Source organism: Homo sapiens, chromosome 14 (genome assembly GCF_000001405.40).
Source record: "Homo sapiens chromosome 14, GRCh38.p14 Primary Assembly".
Taxonomy (NCBI): domain Eukaryota; kingdom Metazoa; phylum Chordata; class Mammalia; order Primates; family Hominidae; genus Homo; species Homo sapiens.
In genome coordinates, this window is record NC_000014.9 from 54851889 (window position 1) to 54878067 (window position 26179).

The window sequence follows — 26179 nt, forward strand, 5'->3', positions numbered from 1 at the left end:
TTATAAATCATGCTGCTATAAAGACACATGCACACATATGTTTATTGCAGCACTACTCACAATAGTAATTTTTGTATTTTTAGTAGAGATGGTGTTTCACCATGTTGGCCAGGCTGGTCTCGAACTACTGACCTCAGGTGATCTGCCCGCCTTGGCCTCCCAAAGTGCTGAGATTACAGGCGTGAGCCACTGCACCCAGCCTATTTTTTAATATATAGTAAGTCCTTGCTCAAGGTCGACAGGTTCTCGGAATCTATGACTTTACTAAAACACTGAGAACAAAACAAATTTTACCCTAGGCTAATTGATATAATAAGAATTAAGCTCCCATAGCATATTTCTGGTCACAAAAACGTCAACAAACTTCCAAATAAACACAAAAACACTTCTAATATTAAACACTAAAATAAATGTGAGTGATACATACATTTAAGAAAGATTAATGGAAAGATATTGATTTCCCCAATTATTCCAGTTCAAGGTCTCAAGTGGCTGGAGCTTTTCCCAGCAGTTCAGGGTACAAGGCAGGAACTGACCCTGGACAGGACACTATCCCATCACAGGGCACACACATCCACCTACTCTCACTCAGACTGGGACCACTCAGATCAGATACGCCAAATCACCTAACGTGTGCATCTTTGGGATGTGGGAGGAAACAGAAGCACCTGGAGGAAACTCACAGATGTGGGAGAAAACATGCAAACTCCACACAGACAGTGGGTCCCAGCAAGGAATTTTTTTTTCTCAATCATACTGAAATGACATTGAATGAAACAACATTATTCCAGGACTGTTATATGCCACTTTGCCTGAAGTCATTTCGCTTCAAGTTGCAGTCTCCAAGAACCCATCGACAACGTAAAGTGAGGACTTACTGTACTTGTTTTATATCCTATCTCTGATAGTTCTACTATCTGCCCTCTTCCATCGTGTTTGTCTGACTCGACTCATGGTACTCCTTGGAACTTCATCTTTGGGTATCCTTCCAAGCCTGGATAAAAGTGCATCAGAGAACATGCACTAGTTTCTGCTAGCTGCCTGCAAGGATACCTCTATGGGGATGTTTTATTTATTTTTATTTATTTATTTTTGAGACAGAGTTTTTGCTCTTGCCCAGGCTGGAGTGCAATGGTGCGATCTCAGCTCACTGCAACCTCTACCTCCCGGGTTCAAGCAATTCTCCTGCCTCAGCCTCCTGAGTAGCTGGGACTACAGGCGTGTGCCACCATGCCCAGCTAATTTTTGTATTTTTAGTAGAGATGGGGTTTCACCATGCTGGTCAGGCTGGTCTCAAACTGCTGACCTCAGGTGACCCACCTGCCTTGGCCTCCCAAAGTGCTGAGATTATAGGCATGATCCACCATGCCTGGCCTTATGGGGTCGTTTGAAACTAAATTATTCCATTTGATTTTTTGAAGGCCACACAGGTAGTACTAATTCTGATCCCAAACTTTATGAATGTGTCTATGAGTTCCTTTTTCTTTTTCCTGCTCTTCCTAGAATAATGCTAATAGGTAAGTATCGTCCTTGATTTGGGATGGGAAAAGGGAGGACAGAATCCAGACTGTGGCTTTAGTGCTAATTCCAGTGGATTCTCACTAGAATTGCCTCATGCTTTCCCGAAAGTGTAAAATGTACATATGCATTATATCTTGATACGCTGTGCCAAGAGGGGCATTATTAATCTAGTTCACCACACCCAGCATCAGTAGTTGTCAGTTTTAATCTAAACCATTCTTACATTCTTGGACTAAACATCCCTGGGTCATGTTGAAAACAGTACTTCTATACTAGCCTGACATTTTAAGATTCTTACAACTACATTAATCAGTGAGATTTGCCTATCATTTTTTTTTTTTAATGCTAGGCTTATCAGGCTTTGTTATCAAGAATAGGCAGCTTCATCAAATTAATTGACACTTCACAGGTTTCTCTACGCTCTTGAATTATTTATACACATGCAAAATTTGTGGTTACTTGAAAGCTTGAAAGAACACTTATAAAACTGACTGGGTCCAGGCACTTTCCCCCAAATCATTAATTTGACCTTTTCTAATGGTTATTAATGTATGCAGGCTTTCAAACTCTTGGTCCATTCCTTTCTCTCCCCATCTTTTTAAAAAACGTATTCATCAAGATGTAAAGATTTATAAAGCATATTTTTAGTTACATATCGTCTCATTCCTAGATATCAGACTCCCCAGCAACCTATGATACAAGATTTTCAACTTGTAGATTTGTGATTTCTGTTCTTTGGCTTTTTCTAAATTATTCTAAATAAGGAGTTTGGACTTTAACTGAAAAGCTGTGGTGAGCCACCAAAGGAGCAGCATGATCCAATCCACACTTTAGAAAGAACATCCCAGCAGCTCATGAGGGCAAACTGAAGGATCCTCAGAGATGAGAGGCAGGGAGGAGGCAGGAGCTTAACATTCCCTCCAGGAGGAAGATAAGAAAGGCCCAGCAAAGACCTGCAGCAGGGAGGGCAGGAAGGCAGGAAGTGGGGGTGCTGCACCTGCCGGGCAGTGAGCACACGCAGCAGTGGATGGGTTCTGCCTCACTCCTCACCCCAAAATACACTCCAGATGGAGCAAAGATTTAAATATAATAATGTGGCCATACAAGTACCAAAAAAAAAAGAAGTTTGTGAACTACAGAAAAGTTTTAAACTTCTTTATGGAAATATAATACTATAAAGCAAAATCAAAAGACAAATGACGAGCTGGGAAGCATTGTCTGTAGCACCTGACCTGACTGCTTTAACATTCAGAGCTTGTGCAAACCAAGAATAAAAAGACAAATAACTCAGTGGAAAAATTAATACTGGAGCTAAGAACAGGAAGTGTCTGAATAGATTCAACCTCGCTCTATTAAGGAAATGCAAATTAAAATAGATACTATTTTTTACTTATCAGTTTGGCAAAGATTTAAAAGTGTGATGAAAAGTGTGTTGGCCGAAGTGTGGAGAAACATACACCACCCCTTACCTATGTATCTATTTATTAGAGTATAAACTGGCATGGTCTCTTTGGAGAGCAATTTCATAATATCAAAAATTCGGCTACCCTTTACCCATCAAGTTCCATACTAGTAATTTAAACTTCAGATAGATTCAAAGCACACAAAGATAATAAAATTTGTTCACCAGGGTACTTTTTTACTTTTTGGCAAGTCTCAAACTGCAAACTGTACTTATCTATAGCAAATACTGGTTAAATGAATTGTATTAATCAAAGAAATATTAGGTAGCTATGAAAAGAAACTTGGACTTTTTGGACTAAAAGATGTCCAAAGAACTTCAAGGTATTTTAAATTTTTAAAAAGCTGGCCAGGGCCAGGCGCGGTGGCTCACTCCCGTAATCCCAGCACTTTGGGAGGCTGGGGTGAGCAGATCACCTGAGGTTAGGAGTTCAAGACCAGTCTTGCCAACATGTTGAAACCCCATCTCTACTAAAAATACAAAAATTAGCTATGCGTGGTGGTACACGCCTGTAATCCCAGCTACTCAGGAGGCTGAGGCAGGAGAATCGCTTGAACCCAGGAGGTGGAGGCTGCAGTGAGCCCAGATAGTGCCACTGCACTCCAGCCTGGGCGACAGAGAAAGACCCTGTCTCAAAAAAAAAAAAAAAAAAAAAAAAGCTGGCCGGGTGCAGTGACTCATGCCTGTAATCCCAGCATTTGGGAGGCCAAGGCAGGCTGATCACTTGAGGCCAGGAGTTCGAGGCCAGCTTGGCCAACATGGAGAAACCCTGTCTTTACTGAAAATACAAAAATTAGCCAGGCATGGTGGTGCACATCAGTAATCCCAGCTACTGGGGAGGCTGAGGCAGGAGAATCACTTGAACCCAGGAGGCAGAGGTTGCAGTGAGCCAAAATCGCACCACTGCACTCCAGCCTGGCCGACAAAGCAAGACTCCATCTCAAAAAAACACCAAATAAAATAAAATTTTAAAAAGCAAGTTGTAGTACAGAATATAAGATATGATCTTATGTTTGTGCTTGCATAAATATTTTCCAGAAGGATAGTGAAAGAAATCTCTAGTTCTAACTCTGGGGAATGAAAATAGGTAAGAAAAGTTTTCACTTTATTCACTCATTTGTATTTAAATGGTATGTTGCTTTTATAGTCAAAAAAGAAAAAAAAATACTGCTCCCTCTGTAATCTAATACTCACCTCACTTACTCTTACTTCCATCAGTCAATCTGGTTCCCATCCACTGGAATAGGCCTTGCTCCTACCCTCTGACTGGTCTTTGCTCATGCATTAACTATACCTAGAGAAACTTCTCCCCCATTTAGAATTCTGCTCATCCCTCCACCTCCAGGTCTATTCACCTGCCAGGCCACAGCCATCATGGCTCCTCTGAACTTGGAGCTACAGCAGGCATTTCCATGGCACTTGCAGTCTTGCCCTGTGCACTCTCCTTGAGGGTGGCTGCCATGTCCTGCTTCTTTAGCCTCCACAGTAGCTGGCACAGTGCCCACCCAACAGGTCAGCCATGGCTACCTGAGATACTACAACTCTAAATTCAAGATTTCGTACATTCACTCAATTATTTATTTATTTATTTATTTTTAGTGACACAGAGTCTTGCTCTGTCACGAGACTGGAGTGCAGTGGTGAAATCTCGGCTCACTGCAACCTCCGCCTCCCAGGTTCAAGCGATTCTTCCATCTCAGCCTCCGAAGTAGCTGGGATTACAGGCGCATGCTACCATGCCCTGCTAATTTTGGTATTTTTAGTAGAGATGGGGTTTCACCATGTTGGCCAGGCTGGTCTGGAACTCCTGACCTCAAGTGATCTGCCCACCTCGGCCTCCCAAAGTGCTGAGATTACAGGCATGAGCCACCTCACCCAGCCGAGGCTCAGTTATTTCTAAGGGAAGAAAATGAATACATGTTCAATGGCTTTTCAGCAACAAAAGAAAGTTCTATTCAAACTAAGTTTATTCTAGAATTCTACTAGAGTTGAGCCAGATCAACTCACTTCTGGCATTTTCTTGTTACTTAAGGCTTTACTGCTTGATATTTGACTTCACTGGCACTGAAAGGTCATTCATTTAAAGGCAAGCATATAACAAACTTCATATATAAGATTAAAATGAGCAGTGAAGTTTTGCTAAGACATTCAGCTTTTATTCCTCTTCATTCTCTAAATATTCTTACTTCTTATAAGGAATAAGTAGTTGGATAAAATCTTAGTCTTCTTTTCTATTTAATAGACTCTTTATTCAAATTTTTTGCAAAATATTTGAAAGCAACATACACTTGGTTCTTTGGCTTCATGTTCCATTTTATTCTTAAATTTTAATCCTATTAGTCTAAGGACAAATCCCCATGCTAATAATCAACTCCTTTGTATTGTTTCATAAAAGCTTAATTATTTGAGATCTTTTCCTTTCACTTGGAAAGGAAATAACTAAGATTATTTCCTTCTACCACCAGGTTGCCATTTATTGTATGATCTCACTGAATCACTCAAGAGTCCATTTCCCATAAAGTGTTAATCATGATCAACAGTTGGTTTTTCAGAGAAGGCTGTTACATTAAGACCAAGGCCTAATGTGATCTGCCAAGCTTTTTTACACTATGAAACTATCCATTACACCTTTCACATATGGACAGTCTGTTATAGGCATCAGCAGTGCTGGAATTTCTATATGGGCAAGGTATAGGGTTAGCAATCTTGCTGACAGGGAGGCCCAGGGGACTGGGCCTACAGCTATGTTTGCACAGTAAGCATGCTGATTTTACTTAGACTGTATATTATAAAACCATAAGAATAACCAATTTTAGTAAAGATACTTTTACTCACAGTTGACATGAAATTGGTTTAATACATCATTAGTTGAGGGTAAGTTACTGGGAAGGGAGTCGTTAATAAAAATTATAGTAAGATTAATTACTCCCAATCACTACCAACACACTTTTTCTCAGCAACTTTTCAGCACTGCCACCAGGGATGGATCACACGCAAGCAGCCAGAATGTTTCTGGATTTGTGCTAAGAGCCTTATTCCAGTGAAGCAATTACAGCTATGATATAATATTCTTTCATGGTGCCAAGCAGCCCTATCTAATAGCAAAATAGCTGAGCAGGAATGAGGTCAGAAACTGGGGAAGTTAAATTTGTCTCTTCTACCCACTTTCTTATTGATCCCCAGAGGAAATGAATGAGAAAGTGGAAGTGAAAACAAAGTAACAGGAACAACTTTAGAGGGCAGTTGTCAGATTGCTGGAGTAGTTTTTTTTTTACAGATTCCAACACAGAATTGAGAAATATCAGGACCACCATTTCACAACTGTGTTAAATCCCAGGGCCTGCATAAAGAAACAGGAACACATCAGAGCCACAGCACAGTCAACTGGTCACAGAGACTCATTTATTCCTCTTCTTTTATTTTTATTTTTTTGAGATAGGGTCTTACTCCATCGCCCAGGCTGGAGTGCAATGGCACAATCTCGGCTCACTGCAAGCTCTGCCTCCCGGGTTCAAGTAATTCTCCTGCCTCAGCCTCCTGATTAGCTGGGATTACAGGTGTGCGCCACCACGCCCAGCTAATCTTTGTATTTTTAGTAGAGATGGGGTTTCACCATGTTGGTGAGGCTGGTCTCAAACTCCTGACCTCAAGTGATCCGCCCGCCTCAGCCTCCCAAAGTGCTGGGATTACAAGTGTGAAAGACGGCACCCGGCCGAGACTCATTTATTTCAATTATGATATGGTCACTATAACCTCAAGTTATTCAAACTTAGCTTGATTATTTTTGAAAAAAAAAAAGAGTAGGAACACTTTACCCGACCCCTTCATCTTGTTCTTAACTTTCTCTCTCTCTCCACACACACACACACCTCCCAGTATTTCCTCCATCACTCAAAATTCACTAACTTTATACGAAGAAACAACAAGGATATTTAAGGGCAATAAAATATTGGTGGCTGGGGCCTACCAGAGATATCTGAACACAAACCCCCATGTTGACTTCCAGTTAAACACAGATGAACGTGTATGTACATCACCTCTCCTAAAACCCAAATAAAAAAGGCAGTAAGGGAATTTTTTAAGGCATGAACCCACAGGATAAACAACAGAAAAGAAGATTGTAGCAGGAAAGAGAAATGAGAGCGAGGAGCGTGAACACTGTATCAGAATAAAGCTGTGCAAAGCCAAGGCAGGCAGTCTTGTGTTTGCAGAAACAAAGAACCTAGACATGAACGGACTGGCCTGCAGGACCCCTGAGATATGCCTGGAGGCATCCAGTGCAGAGCAAGGCAGGGTTGAGGCTGGGGATCCCACAGGGAAGTTTCATTACAAGTCTGAAAGCAGTGTTGTATGAAAGCAAAGAAGGTGAGCACTCCCCTTGACAAGGATAGAAGAGTCCTCAGGCCTGACAACAAGTTCGACAGCAGAGCACTGCAGCTAGACCCCTGCCCAGCTTCTTCCCCAACCCCTCACTGTTAGCTAAACCCCCCTTAAAGGATGGGGCTGGACTGAAGGTAAGCTCAGGACCTCTCCAGTCAGAGAAGGCTCTGCAGAGAAAGAGGTGGGCTGAGACTTCCAGGATGTATGTATCTATGGAAGAAAGGGTGGGAAGTGGAAGAGGAAGCAGGCAGTAGGGGACGAGAAGGAAGGGGCATCTGTGTTTCAGACCCTCCAAGTCTTTAAGTTGCAATATGACTTCCAAGTTAGATCCATACAGGTAAAGAGAGAAAGCCTGATGAGATAGATTCTCAGCAGATGAGGGCAGGTCCTATAAACCTGTATTCTTGTTCACTGCACAGTCACACTTACCTCGCAAGTTTGCTGAGGCCAAGGACTTGCTTGTTAGGAAGATAACCAATATGGACCTTCAGAGAAGAGACGGAAATCATTAGCTGAGTGAAAATACAGTGCCTTCTTTGTGACAAAATAAGGAAATATAGAAAGAATATAGTACACTTTTATGTAATTTATCACGACAATGTATTACCTTGAAAACATCTGGAACTGTTAAGACTTAGAAAATGAAACATTTATATATGTATTTTTAAAATTACATAAATGCAGTAAAAGCAAAATATATAAGTATGAGTCTATTAATCAAATAACAAACTTGTACAGTTGTCCGTTGGTAAATGCGGGAGATTGCTTCCAGGACCCCTGTGTATACCCAAATCCTGCATACTCAAGTCCCGCAGTCGGCCCTGCAGAACCTGCATATATGAAAAGTTGCCCCTCCATCTATACAGGTTTTGTATCCTGCAAATACTGTAGAATTTTTGATCAGTGTTTGCTTGAAAAAGAGCCATGTCTAAGTGGACCCATGCAGTTCAAATTCATGTTGTTCAAGAGTCAATTGCATGGCCCTGACACTTACCTGTGAAGTTGAACTCTTGACACAAATCTGAAAGTTTCTTCTTTATGGAGGAGAAACATTCTCAAGGAAAGGCAAATGATCTCATAGCAACACTAAAATGTATACAGGAAAGCCTCCTTTAAATGGCAAAAACTGTAAGCATAAGTATTGCCATTCCACACATCACAGCAGCCTTAAGATCCCACCTCACAGCCTTAAGATCCCACCGCAAAGCCCTGCAGCACAGAAGGTCTCCACACCCTTTTGTGCTTGGCTTCCTGGTTTCTAAGCTGCTAGAGAGTGCACCATCTTCCTTTTTTTTTTTTTTTTTTTTGAGATGGAGTCTCACTCTGTCGCCCAGGCTGGAGTACAGTGGCCCAGTCTTGGCTCACTGCAAGCTCCGCCTCCAAGGTTCAAGCAATTCCCCTGCCTTAGCCTCCTGAGTAGCCGGGACTACAGGCGCCTGCCACCACACCCAGCTAATTTTTGTATTTTTAGTAGAGATGGTGTTTCACCGTGTTAGCCAGGATGGTTTCGATCTCCTGACCTTGTGATCTGCCCGCCTCGGCCTCCCAAAGAGTTGGGATTACAGGCGTGAGCCACCACGCCCGGCCCCATCTTCCTAACTGGAGAAAAAGGGCACTGCTACCACCATGGCTTGGCAAGAACCTGCACCCTAAGAACTAAGTTTTAAAGGACCCAATATACAGCCAGGCCATTTCTGTTATCTTAAATGGCACCAATTAATATCAAATATAAAAGTTACTCTTTTGGGGCCAAATACTACATACGAAAAACATTAGTTCTCTGAAAAGATTAATAGAGTAAATGGTCACTTGTAGGCAATTAATTAACCGAATATAAAATTAGAGACTCAACGGCATCATGGTTTGCTAACACTGTTTTCATTGTTCACTTACTATTTACATAATTGATCTAGTAGTACTTAGTGATTTTTTCCCCCATCCATTGGCACTATGCTTTAGGAATTTGAGAAGTCCACCTCATTGCCTTCCTGGTTGGCAGGAGGAAAAAGTAAAATAGCACCTGAACATTGAGGATTTCAAAGAAAAATTAGAGAGTTAAAACTTTCCCATGAACCAAGGTCTTCTATGCTGTCTGAAATTTTTACATTTCCATGCAGACACGGAATTTGTTCATTGTTTATACTATTTTTGGTCTTAAGATCCTAGGTAATTTAAATGTCCATTTCACAAAATCACTAGATAGGCCAGGAGTGGTGGCTCACACCTGTAATTCCAACATTTTGGGTGGATTGCCTGAGGTCAGGAGTTCAAGACCAGCCTGGCCAACATGGTGAGACCCCATCTCTACTAAAAATACAAAAATTAGCCAGGCGTGGTGGCGGGTGCCTGTAATCCCAGCTATTCGAGAGGCTGAAGCAGAAGAATTGCTTGAACCTGGGAGGCGGAGGTTGCAGTGAGCCGAGATCGCACCACTGCACTCCAGCCTAGGCAACAAGAGCGAAACTGTCTCAAAAAAAAAAAAAAAATCACTAAATAATATATTTTTAAAACAAAGGTAGCAAAAACACAAACACTGAGGAAGTAATAGCAGAAAGTAACAGGATAAAATGGTGACAGGCTGAGTACAGAATCAGTGCCTTGGATCTGGCTGCAGCCAAGCCACTAACTCTCTCTATCCTCTTGAACAAGTCACAGGCTTTCTGTGCCTAATTTGCTCACCAATAGATTCCCTTTCAAAGATTCCTTCATTATCAATTGCAGGATTTCCAGATACGATATGGCTTCTGATGTGATGTATCTGGGTTTTCTGATTGCTTTCTCTTCTTTTCTTTTTAGAGACAAGGTCTTGTTCTGTCACCCAGGTTGGGGTACAGTGGCATGATCATAGTTCACTGTAACCTGAAACTCCTGAGCTCAAGCAATCTTCCTGCCTCAGACTCCCAAAAAGTAGCTAGGACTACAGGTATGCACCCACCATGCCCAATTAATTTTAAAAAAAAATTTATTTTGTGGTAGAGACAGTCTCACTTGCTGGTCTTGAACTATTGACCTGAAGCTATCCTCCCACCTTGACTTCCCAAGTCGCTGGGATTACAGGCATGAGCCACCTCACTCGGCCCTGATGTGATATAATATGAAGTCTTCAGCACCCTTATGAAGCACTACTCTTTTTTTTTTTTTTTTTTTTTTTGGACACGGATTCACTCTCTTGCCAGGCTGGAGTGCAGTGGTGTGATCTCGGCTCACTGCAGCCTCGACCTCCTGGGTTCAAGCGATTCTCCAACCTCACCCTCCCGAGTAGCTGAGACCACAGGTGCATGCCACCATGCTAGCTAATTTTTGCCTGTTTTTTTGTTTGTCTGTTTGGTTGATTGGTTTTCGTTTTTTTTTTTTTTGGTTGGTTTTTTTTTTTTTGGTAGAGACAGGGTTTTACCATGTTGCCTAGGTTGGTCTCAAACTCCTGAGCTCAAAGCGATACATCCACCACCTGCCTTGGCCTCCCAAAGTGTTGAGATTACTGACGTAAGCCACCGTGCCCAGCCCTTACGAACTACTTTTATCAGAAATGTTTAGCCCTAGTCTTATGAAACTTTAGATCTAATCTAGTTTATAGGAAATCCAGAGGCTGAAGGAAACAAATCTGGAAGGTGGGGCACTCTGCTGAACAGCTGGCCTATTTTCTTTTCAGTAGAGAATGTTATGGGTGGGAGCACTATTTTAGAACAAAAGGGACTTAACAGGTATAACCAAATGCAATGTAAATACAAATGTGTGACTCTCCCTTGGATTCCTGTTTAAACAAACCAAGAGTAAACATTTGAGACAATTGGAGAAATTTAAATATGAATTCGTTATTAGACACTATTTAAGAATTATTGTTAATTTTGTGATAGTGCTGCTGTGGATAAGTAAGAAAATATTTTAGGGCCAGGTGCGGTGGCTCACGCCTGTAATCCCAGCACTTTGGGAGGCCAAGGCGGGCGGATCACGAGGTCAGGAGATCAAGACCATCCTGGCTAACACCGTGAAACCCCTTCTCTACTAAAAATACAACAACAAAATTAGCCAGCATGGTGGCAGGCGCCTGTAGTCCCAGCTACTCAGGAGGCTGAGGTGAGAGAATGGCGTGAACCCGGGAGGTGGAGCTTGCAGTGAGCCGAGATCACACCACTGCAATCTAGCCTGGGCGACAGAGCGAGACTCCGTCTCAAAAAAAAAAAAAAAAAAAAAAAAAAGCATGCACATGTACTCCAAAAAAGTATTGACAGCAGTATTGTTTGTAATAGCAAAAAAAAAAAAAAAAAAAAAAGAGGCAACAATACAAAGGTCCACCAAGAGCAGAATAGATAAATTGTGGTATATTTGTACAATGGAATAAGATATAACAATGAAAATAAACTACAATGACAGGCAATGACATCAATGAATCCGACTATGTAGAACAAGAGAGGCCAGACACAAAGAGTACATATCGTAGAATCTTTCCACTTACATATAGTTGAAAAACAAGAAAACGAATCCATAGGGTTATAAGTTGATAAACTGATACAAAGGATGGATTAGGGATTAAGAAGAGAAAAGAAATGAGGTGAGCTTCCAGGATGCTACACATATTGTAGTTGTGGGGGTTTCGTTGTTGTTTGTTTGTTTGTTTGTTTGACAGGGTCTGGCAGTCTGGCTCTGTTGCCCAGGCTAGGATATAGTGGCGCAATCTCGGCTCACTGCAACCCCTGCCTCTTGGACTCAAGCCATCCTCCCATCTCAGCCTCCCGAGTAGCTGGCAGTACAGGCATGCACCACCATGCCCAGGTAATTTTTATTTTTATCTTGGTAGAGATGGGGTCTCACCATGTTGCCCAGGCTGGTCTTGAACTCCTGGGTTCAAGCAATCCACCTACCTCAGCCTTCCAAAGTGCTGGGATTACAGGCATGAACCACCGTGCCAGCCTATTCTAGTTCTTGATCTCTGAAGTGGTAAGGAACACCCTTAAGTTTTATGCATTTTCTATCTATATATTATTTCCATAAAAAAGTGAAAAGATACAATACTTTAACAAAGACAAAAATGAAGCAAATGTTAACACTTTAACTTTAGTTGATGGGTATATAAGTATTCATAACACTGCTTCTTGTAAGTCTTCTGTTTAAAGATTATTAATAAAGAGTCAAAATTAAATAAAATTATGATGGGGGTAGGGAAATGGGACAACTCTTTGTTCTATACCACATGTTCTCAAAGGTATGTTAAGTAGTCATTCCTAGACAACATCTAATAACTAACTCAGATTTAAATTCCTCCAATTGTCTCAAATGTTTTACTTTTGGTTTGTTTAAACAGGAATCCAATGGAGAGTCACACATTTGTATTTACACTGCATTTGGTTATACCTCTTAAGTCCCTTTTGTCCTAAAATAGTGCTCCCACCCATAATATTCTCTATTGAAAAGAGAATAGGCCAGCTGTTCAGCAGAGTGCCCCACCTTCTGGATTTGTTCCATTCAGCCTCTGGATTTCCTGTAAACTAGATTAGATCTAAAGTTTCATAAGACTAGGACTAAACATTTCTGACAAAAGAAATTCACAGAGGTGCTGAGGAATCTAATGCATTAGATTCACTTTTCCTAATATAGAAAGGAATGGAAACAAATCCACAAATACCATAACCTCTGTCACAAGAAATTCTGCAATTATTGTTGCTCATGACATGCCATACATACATATCTATCTTGGATCAAACATTATTCAAGTTAAAATAAAGGGCATCTCTAGATTGGGATGCTAATAATAAATAAATAAAGGTTAAAGGTTTTCAGAGCCTGTAGTAGCTACAAAAAAAAAAAAAGAGAGAGAGAGATGCTACTTAAACCTCATTATTTTAACCTATGAACCTGGTATTTAACATGAAAGGCTTATCCTGAGAGCCTTCTGCTACTTTGGTTTTGTTTTTTAAGTTTCAAGTTATTAGTCAGGTTAATAAAGAATAACCATATATGTATAATTGTAAATACCTGAGATATCAGCAATTGGCAGCTAAAAATTTTAAATATAATTATTCTAATTGAAAAACTTTCACTATGTTTTAAATTGCTGGGAAACAACAAAGAGAACCTTACCTTTCCAACAAATGGAACCAAGTGATGCTCACACATGGAAAACATGTCTATGTCCTTCACAATCACCATCTCATCATGATCTTCATCAAATATAGCATCGTTTAGGACATCTGAAATCAGAGGCTTGCTTTAGTAACATGTCCAATTTTATAGAAAGGTAGAATTATGGATAAACATGAATAGACAGTCAACATAAACGAACGTTAATCCTCCCTAAAATATTAAGGGAATACAAATTAAAACTAGATATTTTTCCTTATCAAAGTAGCAAAGTCCTTTTCTGTAAGTAACATTTAAAAATCCTTGATACAGTGTTACATGAAAAATGCAGGATTATGAACATATTTGCAGTATGGAAGAGGAAGGAGAACGGAGGGAGGAAAGGAAAAATTATACCAAAATAAAACAGTGGCTATTTCTGGCAGTAGAAATGGGCCACTTTCACTTTCTTCCTTACATTTTCTTCTACTTTATATTTTGTCTATAATCAATATGTAGAAAACCATATCTGAGAAAAAGACTAATCCTTAGCCCTCTGACTTCTGAGGCCAGATCCAGACACCTGTAAACCTGACCTCTATTATCAATTCCCCAAGTAATTTTCTACATTTGTAAAGTGTTCTATATATTGTAGGCTAGCATCAGACTTATTCTAAACAGTTGCCTTCCTAAGGAAATAAATCCTACAGTTTGTGTGTATATGCCTCTCTGGGAAGGCTTTGGAAGATAAGCAGTGTCTTGTTTAAGCTGTGGACCCTGGCACTTCCAGCCAGACATACAATAGACATTAAAAAAAAAAAAAGCTTTATTTTTAAAAATTGCACTGACTTATCCTCAACTATGCTATGTGCAAAAGAAAAGATTAATCAGATGATGCCTGAGAGCACTCTGAGCTTCCTAACATTCGGTGACTGCAAGAACATCCTGTCCTGGATGCTGAAGAGGGATAGAGGGAAACAAGCCACATTCCCCACCAATCATAATATAGCCAAGCTATTGATAATAGGCAGGTACCCAAACAACATTGTAGATAAATGCCATATGACATGGAAACTTCTTCAGCTATATTGTCAAATGAGAAAAGAAGCTACAAAGAAATACAGTAGGATTTCATTTTCGGAAAATAAATATAGACATAGAAAAAAACTGTACTGATACCTAGACAGCTTGGCAGACTAGATATAATAAGACACGTAGCTGAGTAATTTCAAGGATTTGGGGGATATGCAATATACATAATAGAATTAGACAGAGAAGGGAAGGGATGTATTAGAGCTTTGCACCTGCAGCTCTTTCCCCTCAGAAAGGCAGGCGGCTGAGTGAGTCACAGGAAGATGGACAAATGTCCACCCACACTGCCTGACCTTCAGTGGCTCCACTGCTACTAGAATAGGGGGCTCACAGAGACCAAGTCATCACGTAAACCACAGTTATTACCCCAAGTCAGGCTATTCAGAGATACATTTGACTGTGTCATAGAAAAGTCATTAGTGTGGTCAAGAAAGGCGAACATGGCAGGGTTAGACACATACAGACAAACAGAGACACCCCTGGTAGAAGTGGCTGATAACATCCCAGGAGAAAAAGGCGCAGTGTCACTCACTGAGTATTTCTTCTACCACAGCACTTTTCTATGCTGAATATTCTGCCCTACCTTCAGTCTTATTTCTGAAAAGAAGACCAAAAATAGATCCTTAATGTTTCCAAAAGTTTCTTGGATTTCTCCCCAAGATTTTAATATGGTATGATTGCCACATATAGCTTACTAAAATCTTTAGTCACACAAGATATATTCCTGGAAGGAAAAACAAACCAAAAAAATGTCTTAAAGAAAAAACAAGAGAGAAGCATTAAATATAGGAAGCATTTGTTTTCTCTGGCAAAGAATGAGAGCGTCCCCATCCTAAGCTCTGACGACAACCATATGGCCCATGTTAAAGTCAGCCCTTCAACTCAGGCGAAGTGAAGAGCTGGCTCCAGGCTGGGTGCAGTGGCTCATGCCTGTAATCCCAGCACTCTGGGAGGCAGAGGTAGGTGGATCACCTGAGGTCAGGTGTTTGAGACCAGCCTGGCCAACATGGTCAAACCCTGTCTCTACTGAAAATACAAAAATAAGCCAGGCGTGGTGGTGCATGCCTGTAGTCCCAGCTACTCGGGGGGCTGAGACAGGAGAATTGCTTGAACCCGGGATGTGGAGGCTGCAGTGAGCCGAGATCATGTCACTGTACTCTAGCCTGGGCAAGAGAGAACAAGACTCCGTCTCAAAAAAAAAAAAAAAAAAAAAAAAAGATCTGGCTCCATCACTTACTAGTTATTAGGCCTTGGGCAAGGTACTCTGTACCTCAGTCTTCTCGGCTATAAAATGAGCATAAAGTGCCTGCTTCACAGGGTGTCATGAGGATTAAATGGGCACATGTGTTTAGAACTATGCAGGCGGAGCAAGTGCTAGTTATTGTTATTACTATTATTATTACAATTAAGATTGAGGGAGCTGCAAAGCTATGTATCTCCCATGCATATTGAGGTACATCAAAATTTAAAAAGCAATAATTTGCCTTAACAGAGTACAGAAAAGGAAAAATAGTAACTTGGTGGAGAAACCTGGCAGAGGCTACCTTAACCAAATGATTAAGGTTAACTTTGCCAGTAACAGGACATACTGACATCAGGTAGCTCCTGATAGGACACCATGAGAAGGGCACATCACCTCTGCGGTATTCTTCCCAAAAATCCATAACTGCAGCCTAATCATCAGACAAATCTAGGGACACAAAATATCTAAACAAGTACTCTTAGAAAGCATCAGGCCAGGCACAGTGGCTCACACCTGTAATCCCAGCACTTTGGTAGGGCAAGGTGGGAGGATCACTTGAGCCCAGCATTCTGAGACCAGCCTAGGTAACACTGCAATATCCCATCTCCACAAAAAATAAGAAAAAAATTAGCCAGGCACGGCAGCACACTCCTATAGTCATAGCTATTCAGGAGGCTAAGGCAGGAGGATCACTTAAGCCCAGCAGTTCAATGCTACAATGAGCTATGATTGCACCACTCCACTCCAAATAGAGTGACAGGGCAAGATCCTGTCTCTATTTTTTAAGTGTTTAAAAATTAAAAAAAAAAATTAAGGCATCAAAGTCATGAAAGACACAGAAAGACTAAGGAATTGTCAGATTGTAGGAGACTAGAGAAATGACAATGAAAATCTGAATAAAGTCTGTAGTTTAAATAATAGTATTGTACCAATATTACTTTTTAAAATAAAGTATATTTTTATTATTTTTTCTTTTTTTGAGACAGAGTCTTGCTCTGTCGCCCAGGCTGGAGTGCAGTGGCATGATCTCGGCTCACTGCAAGCTCTGCCTCCCAGGTTCACACCATTCTCCTGCCTCAGCCTCCTAAGTAGCTGGGACTACAGGCGTCTGCCACCACCCCAGCTAATTTTTTGTATTTTTAGTAGAGATGGGGTTTCACCATGCCAGCCAGGATGGTCTCGATCTCCTGACCTCGTGATCCACCCGCCTCAGCCTCCCAAAGTGCTGGGATTATGGGCGTGAGCCACCGTACCTGGCCTTATTATTATTATTATTATTTTAGAGATGGGATCTTGATATATTGCTCAAGCTAGTCTTAAACTCCACGGCTCAAGCCATCCTCCCACCTTGGTCTCCCAAGTAGCTGGGACTACAGGCATGCACCACCACCTGGCTCCAATATTAATTTCTTTTTTGAGATGAAGTCTCACTCTGTCACCCAGGCTGGAGTGCAATGGCGTGGTCTCGGCTCACTGCAACCTTCGCCTCCCGGGTTCAAGCGATTCTCCTGCCTCAGCCTCCCGAGTAGCTGGGACTACAGGCACGTGCCACCAAACTCAGCTAATTTTTTTGTATTTTTAGTAGAGACGGGGTTTCACTATGTTGGCCAGGCTGGTCTCGAACTCCTGACCTCGTGATCTGCCAGCCTTGGCCCCCCAAAGTGCTGAGATTACAGGCGTGAGCCACCATGCCCAGCCAGTATTAATTTCTTAAATGTTGATAATTGTACCATGGCCATGTGAGATGTTAAACATCAGGAGAAACTGGGGAAAGGGTATATGAAAACTCTCTCTACTATCTTTATAATTATTCTGTAAGTCAGTCTAAAATTGTTTCAAAATAAAAACTTTCTTTTTGAAACGAAGTTTTGCCCTTGTTGCCCAGGCTGGAGTGCAATGGCACAATCTCAGCTCACTGCAACCTCTGCCTCCCAGGTTCAAGTAATTCTCCTGCCTCAGCCTCCTGAGTAGCTGGGATTATAGACACATACCACCACGCCCAGCTAATTTTGTATTTTTAGTAGGGATCGGGTTTCTCCATGTTGGTCAGACTGGTCTGGAACTCCCGACCTCAGGTGACCCACCTGCCTCAGCCTCCCAAAGTGCTGGGATTACAGGCGTGAGCCACCGTGCCTGGCCCAATAAAAAGTTTTCTAAAAAGCAAAAGGACAATGTCCCTCAACTGGAACATATAAACAATGGAGTACACTCAGCAAGAAGATGGAATGAATTACTGATACATGTAATAACATGGTTTGAGTCTCCAAAGTACACTACAATGTGAAAGAAGACATCCATACACAGAAGAGACTACCTATGTTCTAGAAAAGGCAAAACTATAGTGATAGAAGGCAGACAGGTGGTTTACCAGGGCCAGAGAGGTAGGAGAGAGAACTTCACTGCAAAAGGAAAGAAAGAAACTTTTTTGGGTGATGGAAATAGTTCCTATCTTCACTGTATGGGTGGCTATATAACTGCATACGTTTGTTAAAATTCACATTGTACATGTAAAGTAGGTAAATTTTACATAAGATAAGTGACACCTTAATAAAGCTAACTTCAAACATAATTTTTAGGCTGGGTGCGGTGGCTCACATCTGTAATTCTAGCACTTTGGGAGGCGAAGGTGAGAACATTGCTAGAGGCCAAGAGTTCAAGACCAGACTGCCCAACCTAGCCAGACTCTGTTTTTACCAAAAAAAAAAAAAAAAAAAAAAAAAGGGTGGGGGTGGAGCCAAGATGGCCGAATAGGGACAGCTCCAGTCTACAGCTCCCAGTGTGAGCAACGCATAAGACGGGTGATTTCTGCATTTCTAACTGAGGTATCGGGTTCATCTCACTGGGGAGTGTCGGACAGTGGGTGCAGGACAGGGGGTGCAGCGCACCCAGTGAGCCAAAGCAGGGCGAGGCGTCACCTCACCCGGGAAGCACAAGGGGTCAGGGAATTCCCTTTCCTAGTCAAAGAAAGCGGTGACAGATGGCACCTGGAAAATCAGGTCACTCCCACCCTAATACTGCACTTTTCCAACGATCTTAGCAAACGGCACACCAGGAGATAATATCCTGCGCTTGGCTCGGAGGGTCCTACTCCCACAGATCCTCGCTCATTGCTAGCACAGCAGTCTGAGATCAAACTGCAAGGCGGCAGCGAGGCTGGGGGAGGGGCACCCGCCATTGCCGAGGCTTGAGTAGGTAAACAAAGCGGCTGGGAAGCTTGAACTGGGTGGAGCCCACCGCAGCTCAAGGAGCCCTGCCTGCCTCCGTAGACTCCACCTCTGGGGGCACGGCATAGCCGAACAAAAGGCAGCAGAAACTTCTGCAGACTTAAAAGTCCCTGTCTGACAGCTTGGAAGACAGCAGTGGTTCTCCCAGCATGCAGCCTGAGATCTGAGAATGGACAGACTGCCTCCTAAAGTGGGTCCCTGACCCCCGAGTAGCCTAACTGGGAGGCACCCCCAAGGAGGGGCAGACTGACACCTCACACAGCCGGGTACTCCTCTGAGACAAAACTTCCAGAGGAACGATCAGGCAGCAACATTTGCTGTTCACCAATATCCACTGTTCTGCAGCCTCCGCTGCTAATACCCAGGCAAACAGGGTCTGGAGTGGACCTCCAGCAAACTCCAACAGACCGGCAGCTGAGGGTCCTGACTGTTAGAAGGAAAACTAACAAACAAAAAAGACATCCACACCAAAATCCCATCTGTACATCACCATCATCAAAGACCAAAGGTAGATAAAACCACAAAGACAGGGAAAAAACAGAGCAGAAAAACTGGAAACTCTAAACATCAGAGTGCATCTCCTCCTCCAAAGGAACGCAGCTCCTCACCAGCAACGGAACAAAGCCAGACGGAGAATGACTTTGACGAATTGAGAGAAAAAGGCTTCAGACGAACAAACTACTCCAAGCTAAAGGAGGAATTTCGAACCCATGGCAAAGAAGTTAAAAACCTTTAAAAAAATTAGACGAATGGCTAACTAGAATAACCAATGCAGAGAAGTCCTTAAAGGACCTGATGGAGCTGAAAACCATGGCACGAGAACTACGTGATGAATGCACAAGCCTCAGTAGCTGATTCGATCAACTGGAAGAAAGGGTATCAGTGATGGAAGATCAAATGAATGAAATGAAGCAAGAAGAGAAGTTTAGAGAAAAAAGAATAAAAAGAAATGAACAAAGCCTCCAAGAAATATGGGACTATGTGAAAGGACCAAATCTATATCTGATTGGTGTACCTGAAAGTGACAGGGAGAATGGAACCAAGTTGGAAAACACTCTGCAGGATATCATCCAGGAGAACTTCCCCAATCTAGCAAGGCAGGCCAACATTCAGATTCAGGAAATACAGAGAATGCCACAAAGATACTCCTCGAGAAGAGCAACTCCAAGACACATAATTGTCAGATTCACCAAAGTTGAAATGAAGGAAAAAATGTTAAGGGCAGCCAGAGAGAAAGGTCAGGTTACCCACAAAGGGAAGCCCATCGGACTAACAGCTGATCTCTCGGCAGAAACTCTACAAGCCAGAAGAGAGTGGGGGCCAATATTCAACATTCTTAAAGAAAAGAATTTTCAACCCAGAATTTCATATCCAGCCAAACTAAGCTTCATAAGTGAAGGAGAAATAAAATCCTTTACAGACAAGCAAATGCTGAGAGATTTTGTCACCACCACGCCTGCCCTACAAGAGCTCCTGAAAGAAGCACTAAACATGGAAAGGAACAACCGGTACCAGCCACTGAAAAAACATGCCAAATTGTAAAGACCATTGAGGCTAGGAAAAAACTGCATCAACTAACGAGCAAAATAACCAGCTAACATCATAATGACAGGATCAAATTCACACATAACAATATTAACCTTAAATGTAAATGGGCTAAATGCTCCAATTAAAAGACACAGAATGGCAAATTGGATAAAAAGTCAAGACCCATCAGTGTGCTGTATTCAGGAAACCCATCTCACGTGCAGAGACACACATAGGCTCAAAATAAAGGGATGGAGGAAGATCTACCAAGCAAATGGAAAACAACAAAAGGCAGGGGTTGCAATCCTAGTCTCTGATAAAACAGACTTTAAACCAACAAAGATCAAAAGAGACAAAGAAGGCCATTACATAATGGTAAAGGGATCAATTCAATTCAACAAGAAGAGCTAACTATCCTAAATATATATGCACCCAATACAGGAGCACCCAGATTCATAAAGCAAGTCCTTAGAGACCTACAAAGAGACTTAGACTCCCACACAATAATAATGGGAGACTTTAACACCCCACTGTCAACATTAGACAGATCAAAGAGACAGAAAGTTAACAAGGATATCCAGGAATTGAACTTAGCTCTGCACCAAGCAGACCTAACAGACATCTACAGAACTCTCCACCCCAAATCAACAGAATATACATTCTTCTCAGCACCACATCACACTTATTCCAAAATTGACGGAAGTAAAACACTCCTCAGCAAATGTAAAAGAACAGAAATTATAACAAACTGTCTCTCAGACCACAGTGCAATCAAACTAGAACTCAGGATTAATAAATTCACTCAAAACTGCTCAACTACATGAAAACTGAGCAACCTGCTCCTGAATGACTACTGGGTACATAACGAAATGAAGGTAGACATAAAGATGTTCTTTGAAACTAATGAGAACAAAGACACAACATACCAGACTCTCTGGGACACATTTAAAGCAGTGTGTAGAGGGAAATTTATAGCACTAAATGCCCACAAGAGAAAGCAGGAAAGATCTAAAATTGACACCCTAACATCACAATTAAAAGAACTAGAGAAGCAAGAGCAAACATATTCAAAAGCTAGCAGAAGGCAAGAAATAACTAAGATCAGAGCAGAACTGAAGGAGATAGAGACACAAAAAAGCCTTCAAAAAATCAATGAATCCAGGAGCTGGTTTTTTGAAAAGATCAATAAAATTGATAGACCGCTAGCAAGACTAATAAAGAAGAAAAGAGAGAAGAATCAAATAGATGCAATAAAAAATGATAAAGGGGATATCACCACTGATCCCACAGAAATACAAACTACCATCAGAGAATACTATAAACACCTCTATGCAAATAAACTAGAAAATCTAGAAGACATGGATAAATTCCTGGACACACACACCCTCCCAAGACTAAACGAGGAAGAAGTTCAATCTCTGAATAGACCAATAACAGGCTCTGAAATTGAGGCAATAATTAATAGCCTACCAACCAAAAAAATCCAGGACCAGATGGATTCACAGCCGAATTCTACCAGACATATAAGGAGGAGCTGGTACCATTCCTTCTGAAACTATTCCAATCAATAGAAAAAGAGGGAATCCTCCCTAACTCATTTTATGAGGCCAGCATCATCCTGATACCAAAGTCTGGCAGAGACACAACAAAAAAAGAGAATTTTAGACCAATATCCCTGATGAACATCCATGCAAAACCCTCAAAAAAATGCTGGCTAACCGAATCCAGCAGCACATCAAAAAGCTTGTCCACCAGATCAAGTGGGCTTCATCCCTGGGATGCAAGGCTGGTTCAACATATGCAAATCAATAAATGTAATCCAGCATATAAACAGAATCAATGACAAAAACCACATGATTATCTCAATAGTTACAGAAAAGTCCTGTGACAAAATTCAACAACGCTTCATGCTAAAAACTCTCAATAAATTAGGTATTGATGGGACATATCTCAAAATAATAAGAGCTATCTATGACAAACCCACAGCCAATGTCATACTGAATGGGCAAAAACTGGAAGCATTCCCTTTGAAAACTGGCACAAGACAGGGATGTGCTCTCTCACCACTCCTATTCAACATAGTGCTGGAAGTTCTGGCCAGGGCAATCAGGCAGGAGAAAGAAATAAAGGGTATTCAATTAGGAAAAGAGGAAGTCAAATGGTCCCTGTTTGCAGATGACATGATTGTATATCTAGAAAACCCCATTGTCTCAGCTCAAAATCTCCTTAAGCTGATAAGCAACTTCAGCAAAGTCTCAGGATACAAAATCAATGTGCAAAAATCACGAGCATTTCTATACACCAATAACAGACAAACAGAGCCAAATCATGAGTGAACTCCCATTCACAATTGCTTCAAAGAGAATAAAATACCTAGGAATCCAACTTACAAGGGACATAAAGGACCTCTTCAAGGAGAACTACAAACCACTGCTCCATAAAATAAAAGAGGATACAAACAAATGGAAGAACATTCCATGCTCATGGGTGGGAAGAATCAATATCGCGAAAATGGCCATAGATTCAATGCCATCCCCATCAAGCTACCAATGACTTTCTTCACAGAATTGGAAAAAACTGCTTTAAAGTTCATATGGAACCAAAAAAGAGACCGCATTGCCAAGTCAATCCTAAGCCAAAAGAACAAAGCTGGAGGCATCACGCTACCTGACTTCAAACTATACTACAAGGCTACAGTAACCAAAACAGCATGGTACTGGTACCAAAACAGAGATATAGACCAATGGAACAGAACACAGCCCTCAGAAGTAATGCCGCATATCTACAACCATCCGATCTTTGACAAACCTGACAAAAACAAGAAATGGGGAAAGGAATCCCTGTTTAATAAATGGTGCTGGAAAAGCTGGCCAGCCATATGTAGAAAGCTGAAACTGGATCCCTTCCTTACACCTTATACAAAAATTAATTCAAGATGGATTAAACACTTAAACGTTAGACCTAAAACCATAAAAACCCTAGAAGAAAACCTAGGCAATACCATTCAGGACATAGGCATGGGCAAGGACTTCATGTCTAAAACACCAAAAGTGATGGCAACAAAAGCCAAAATTGACAAAAGGGATCTAATTAAACTAAAGAGCTTCTGCACAGCAAAGGAAACTACCATCAGGGTGAACAGGCAACCTACAGAATGGGAGAAAATTTTTGCAATCTACTCATCTGACAAAGGGCTAATATCCAGAATCTACAATGAACTCAAACAAATTTACAAGAAAAAAACAAACAACCCCATCAAAAAGTGGGTGAAGGATATGAACAGACACTTCTCAAGGATATGAACAGACACTTCTCAAAAGAAGACCTTTATGCAGCCAAAAGACACATGAAAAAATGCTCATCATCACTGGCCATCAGAGAAATGCAAATCAAAACCACAATGAGATACCATCTTACACCAGTTAGAATGGCGATCATTAAAAAGTCAAGAAACAACAGGTGCTGGAGAGAATGTGGAGAAACAGGAACACTTTTACACTGTTAGTGGGACTGTAAACTAGTTCAACCATTGTGGAAGTCAGTGTGGCGATTCCTCAGGGATCTAGAACTAGAAATACCATTTGACCCAGCCATCCCATTATTGGGTATATACCCAAAGGATTATAAAACATGCTACTATAAAGACACATGCACACGTATGTTTACCGTGGCACTATTCACAATAGCAAAGACTTGGAAGCAACCCAAATGTCCAACAATGATAGATTGGATTAAGAAAATGTGGCACATATACACCACAGAATACTATGCAGCCATAAAAAATGATGAGTTCATGTCCTTTGTAGAGACATGGATGAAGCTGGAAGCCATCATTCTCAGCAAACTATTGCAAGGACAAAAAGCACCGCATGTTCTCACTCATAGGTGGGAATTGAACAATGAGAACACTTGGACACAGGAAGGGGAACATCACACACCGGGGCCTGTTGTGGGGTGCGGGGAGAGGGGAGGGATAGCATTAGGAGATATACCTAATGTTAAATGACGAGTTAATGGGTGCAGCACACCAACATGGCACATGTATACATATGTAACAAACCTGCACATTGTGCACATGTACCCTAAAACTTAAAGTATAATAATAAAAAAAAAATTATAAAGTACTGCATGGTGATATGTGCCTATAGTCCTAGCTATTCAGGCGGCTGAAGCAGGAGGATCCCTTGAACCCAGGATAGGAGTTTGAGGCTGCAGTGAGCTATGATTACACCACTGCATTCCAGCCTGGGTGACAGAACAAGTCCCTGTCTCTAAAAATCATAATAATAATAATAATTTTTAAAATTGTAGTATAGTATGTAGCCTTTTGTGTAATGAAAGTGGAAGGAGGAGCTATGAACATATGACATATACATATGAATGTATATGCTTATCTGCAAAAAGAAACACTGGAAGGATAAATTCAGAAGCTAGTAAAAATGATTACCTGCAAAGCAGTAAGAGAAGAGACAGAAGGGATATGGATGAAAGGGAAGCATCTTTGAATATAATTTGTTACACAGTTTTGACCTTGGAATCATGTAAATGTTTTACATACTCAAAATTAAATCAAAGAGAAAAAAAATCTAGTGATCCTCATACAGCTAAATGCTTCATGTGATAATGGAACACTGATATGTTGCCTATGCCCCATTTTATTAAAATGAACCAGACTATAACCTTGACCTAGCCAAATCATTTTTCTTCAGTAATAAAGTTTCCCTGCTATATTTACTTATGTTTTGCTCCAACATATCTAAAAGCTACCATCTGTAGGTAATAAGAACAGAACACTATCACATATTGTTTTAATTTCCTGCCTGTTATCAGCAGCAAGAAGGTAACCCTGGAAACAGGGATTTATGGCATTCTGTTTCCTACGGTTGGTCACAACCACAAACAAAATGAAAGCAGCCTCCACAAGTTAAAGGTTTGTCTACAACAACACCACACAATGTCAGTTTTCAGGTATACCTTTCTCATGTCATTCATAATTAAGCAATGTCAACAAATAACACTGCTGGGTAACATCCCTCAAGTATTTAGTCTGCCAGACCCTTTTCTGAAAGTATAGTAAGACAGGCCCACAATACAAGCCCAAGTGCTTTTTTTTTTCTCTCGAGACAGGGTCTCCCTCTGTTGCCCAGGCTGGAATGCAGCGGCACAATCTCAGCTCACTGCAACCTCCACCTCCTAGGCTCAGGTGATCCTCCCACCTCAGCCTCCTGAGTAGCTGGGATTACAGGCGCAAGCCACCATGCCTGGCTAATTTTTGTATTTTTTTGTAGAGATGGGGTTTCGTCATGTTGCCCAGGCTGGTCTCAAATTCCTGAGCTCAAGGGATCTGCCTGTCTTGGCCTCCCAAAGTGCTGTGATTACAGGCATGAGCCACCATGCCTGGCCCCCAAGTGCTTATTTAAGCATACTTCGAAACAGGGGTTCCCAGACTCCCGCTGTGGGCCTGTTAAGACACAAATCTCTAGGCCCCACCCCTAGGGCTTCTGTTTCAGGTGATCTGAGCAGACCTGAGAATTTGCATTTCTAACAAGTTCCCAGAAGATCCTGAAGCTCCCGGTCTGAGAACCAGAGTGCCCCTGGTTTGAACTATTTCATGTTTTGTGCTGCTACACAGAAACTTCATCTCTTCAAAATGCTCCTACTCAAATATATAGGTAA

The 26179-nt window shown here is 41.4% G+C and overlaps 1 protein-coding gene and 1 pseudogene across 7 annotated transcripts in view, besides 1 other annotated feature; one reads left to right on the plus strand and one right to left on the minus strand.

Annotated features, from left to right (window-relative positions):
* GCH1 (GTP cyclohydrolase 1) overlaps positions 1 to 26179 on the minus strand; it is a 60810-nt gene that overhangs the window by 9872 nt on the left and 24759 nt on the right. For 6 of the 7 annotated variants that reach the window (NM_001424104.1, NM_001024071.2, NM_001024070.2 and 3 more), the window contains exons 2-3: positions 13439 to 13548; positions 7793 to 7848 (exon numbers count right to left, since the gene is read on the minus strand). In NM_001424104.1, coding sequence (NP_001411033.1) covers positions 7793 to 7848; positions 13439 to 13548 — 166 coding nt within the window. Of the gene's footprint in view, positions 1 to 4851; positions 4880 to 7792; positions 7849 to 13438; positions 13549 to 26179 lie in introns of those variants that run through there. The other variant, XM_047431261.1, reaches the window with a different exon arrangement.
* RNU6ATAC9P (RNA, U6atac small nuclear 9, pseudogene) lies at positions 7327 to 7442 on the plus strand (annotated as a pseudogene).
* Positions 18818 to 19423: an enhancer, noted in NCBI's record as "NANOG-H3K27ac hESC enhancer chr14:55337424-55338029 (GRCh37/hg19 assembly coordinates)". NCBI's record gives its function as "activates a minimal SCP1, AML or CMV promoter by ChIP-STARR-seq in primed H9 embryonic stem cells {active_cell/tissue: H9 hESC(primed)}" and the evidence as "EXISTENCE:reporter gene assay evidence [ECO:0000049][PMID:30033119]".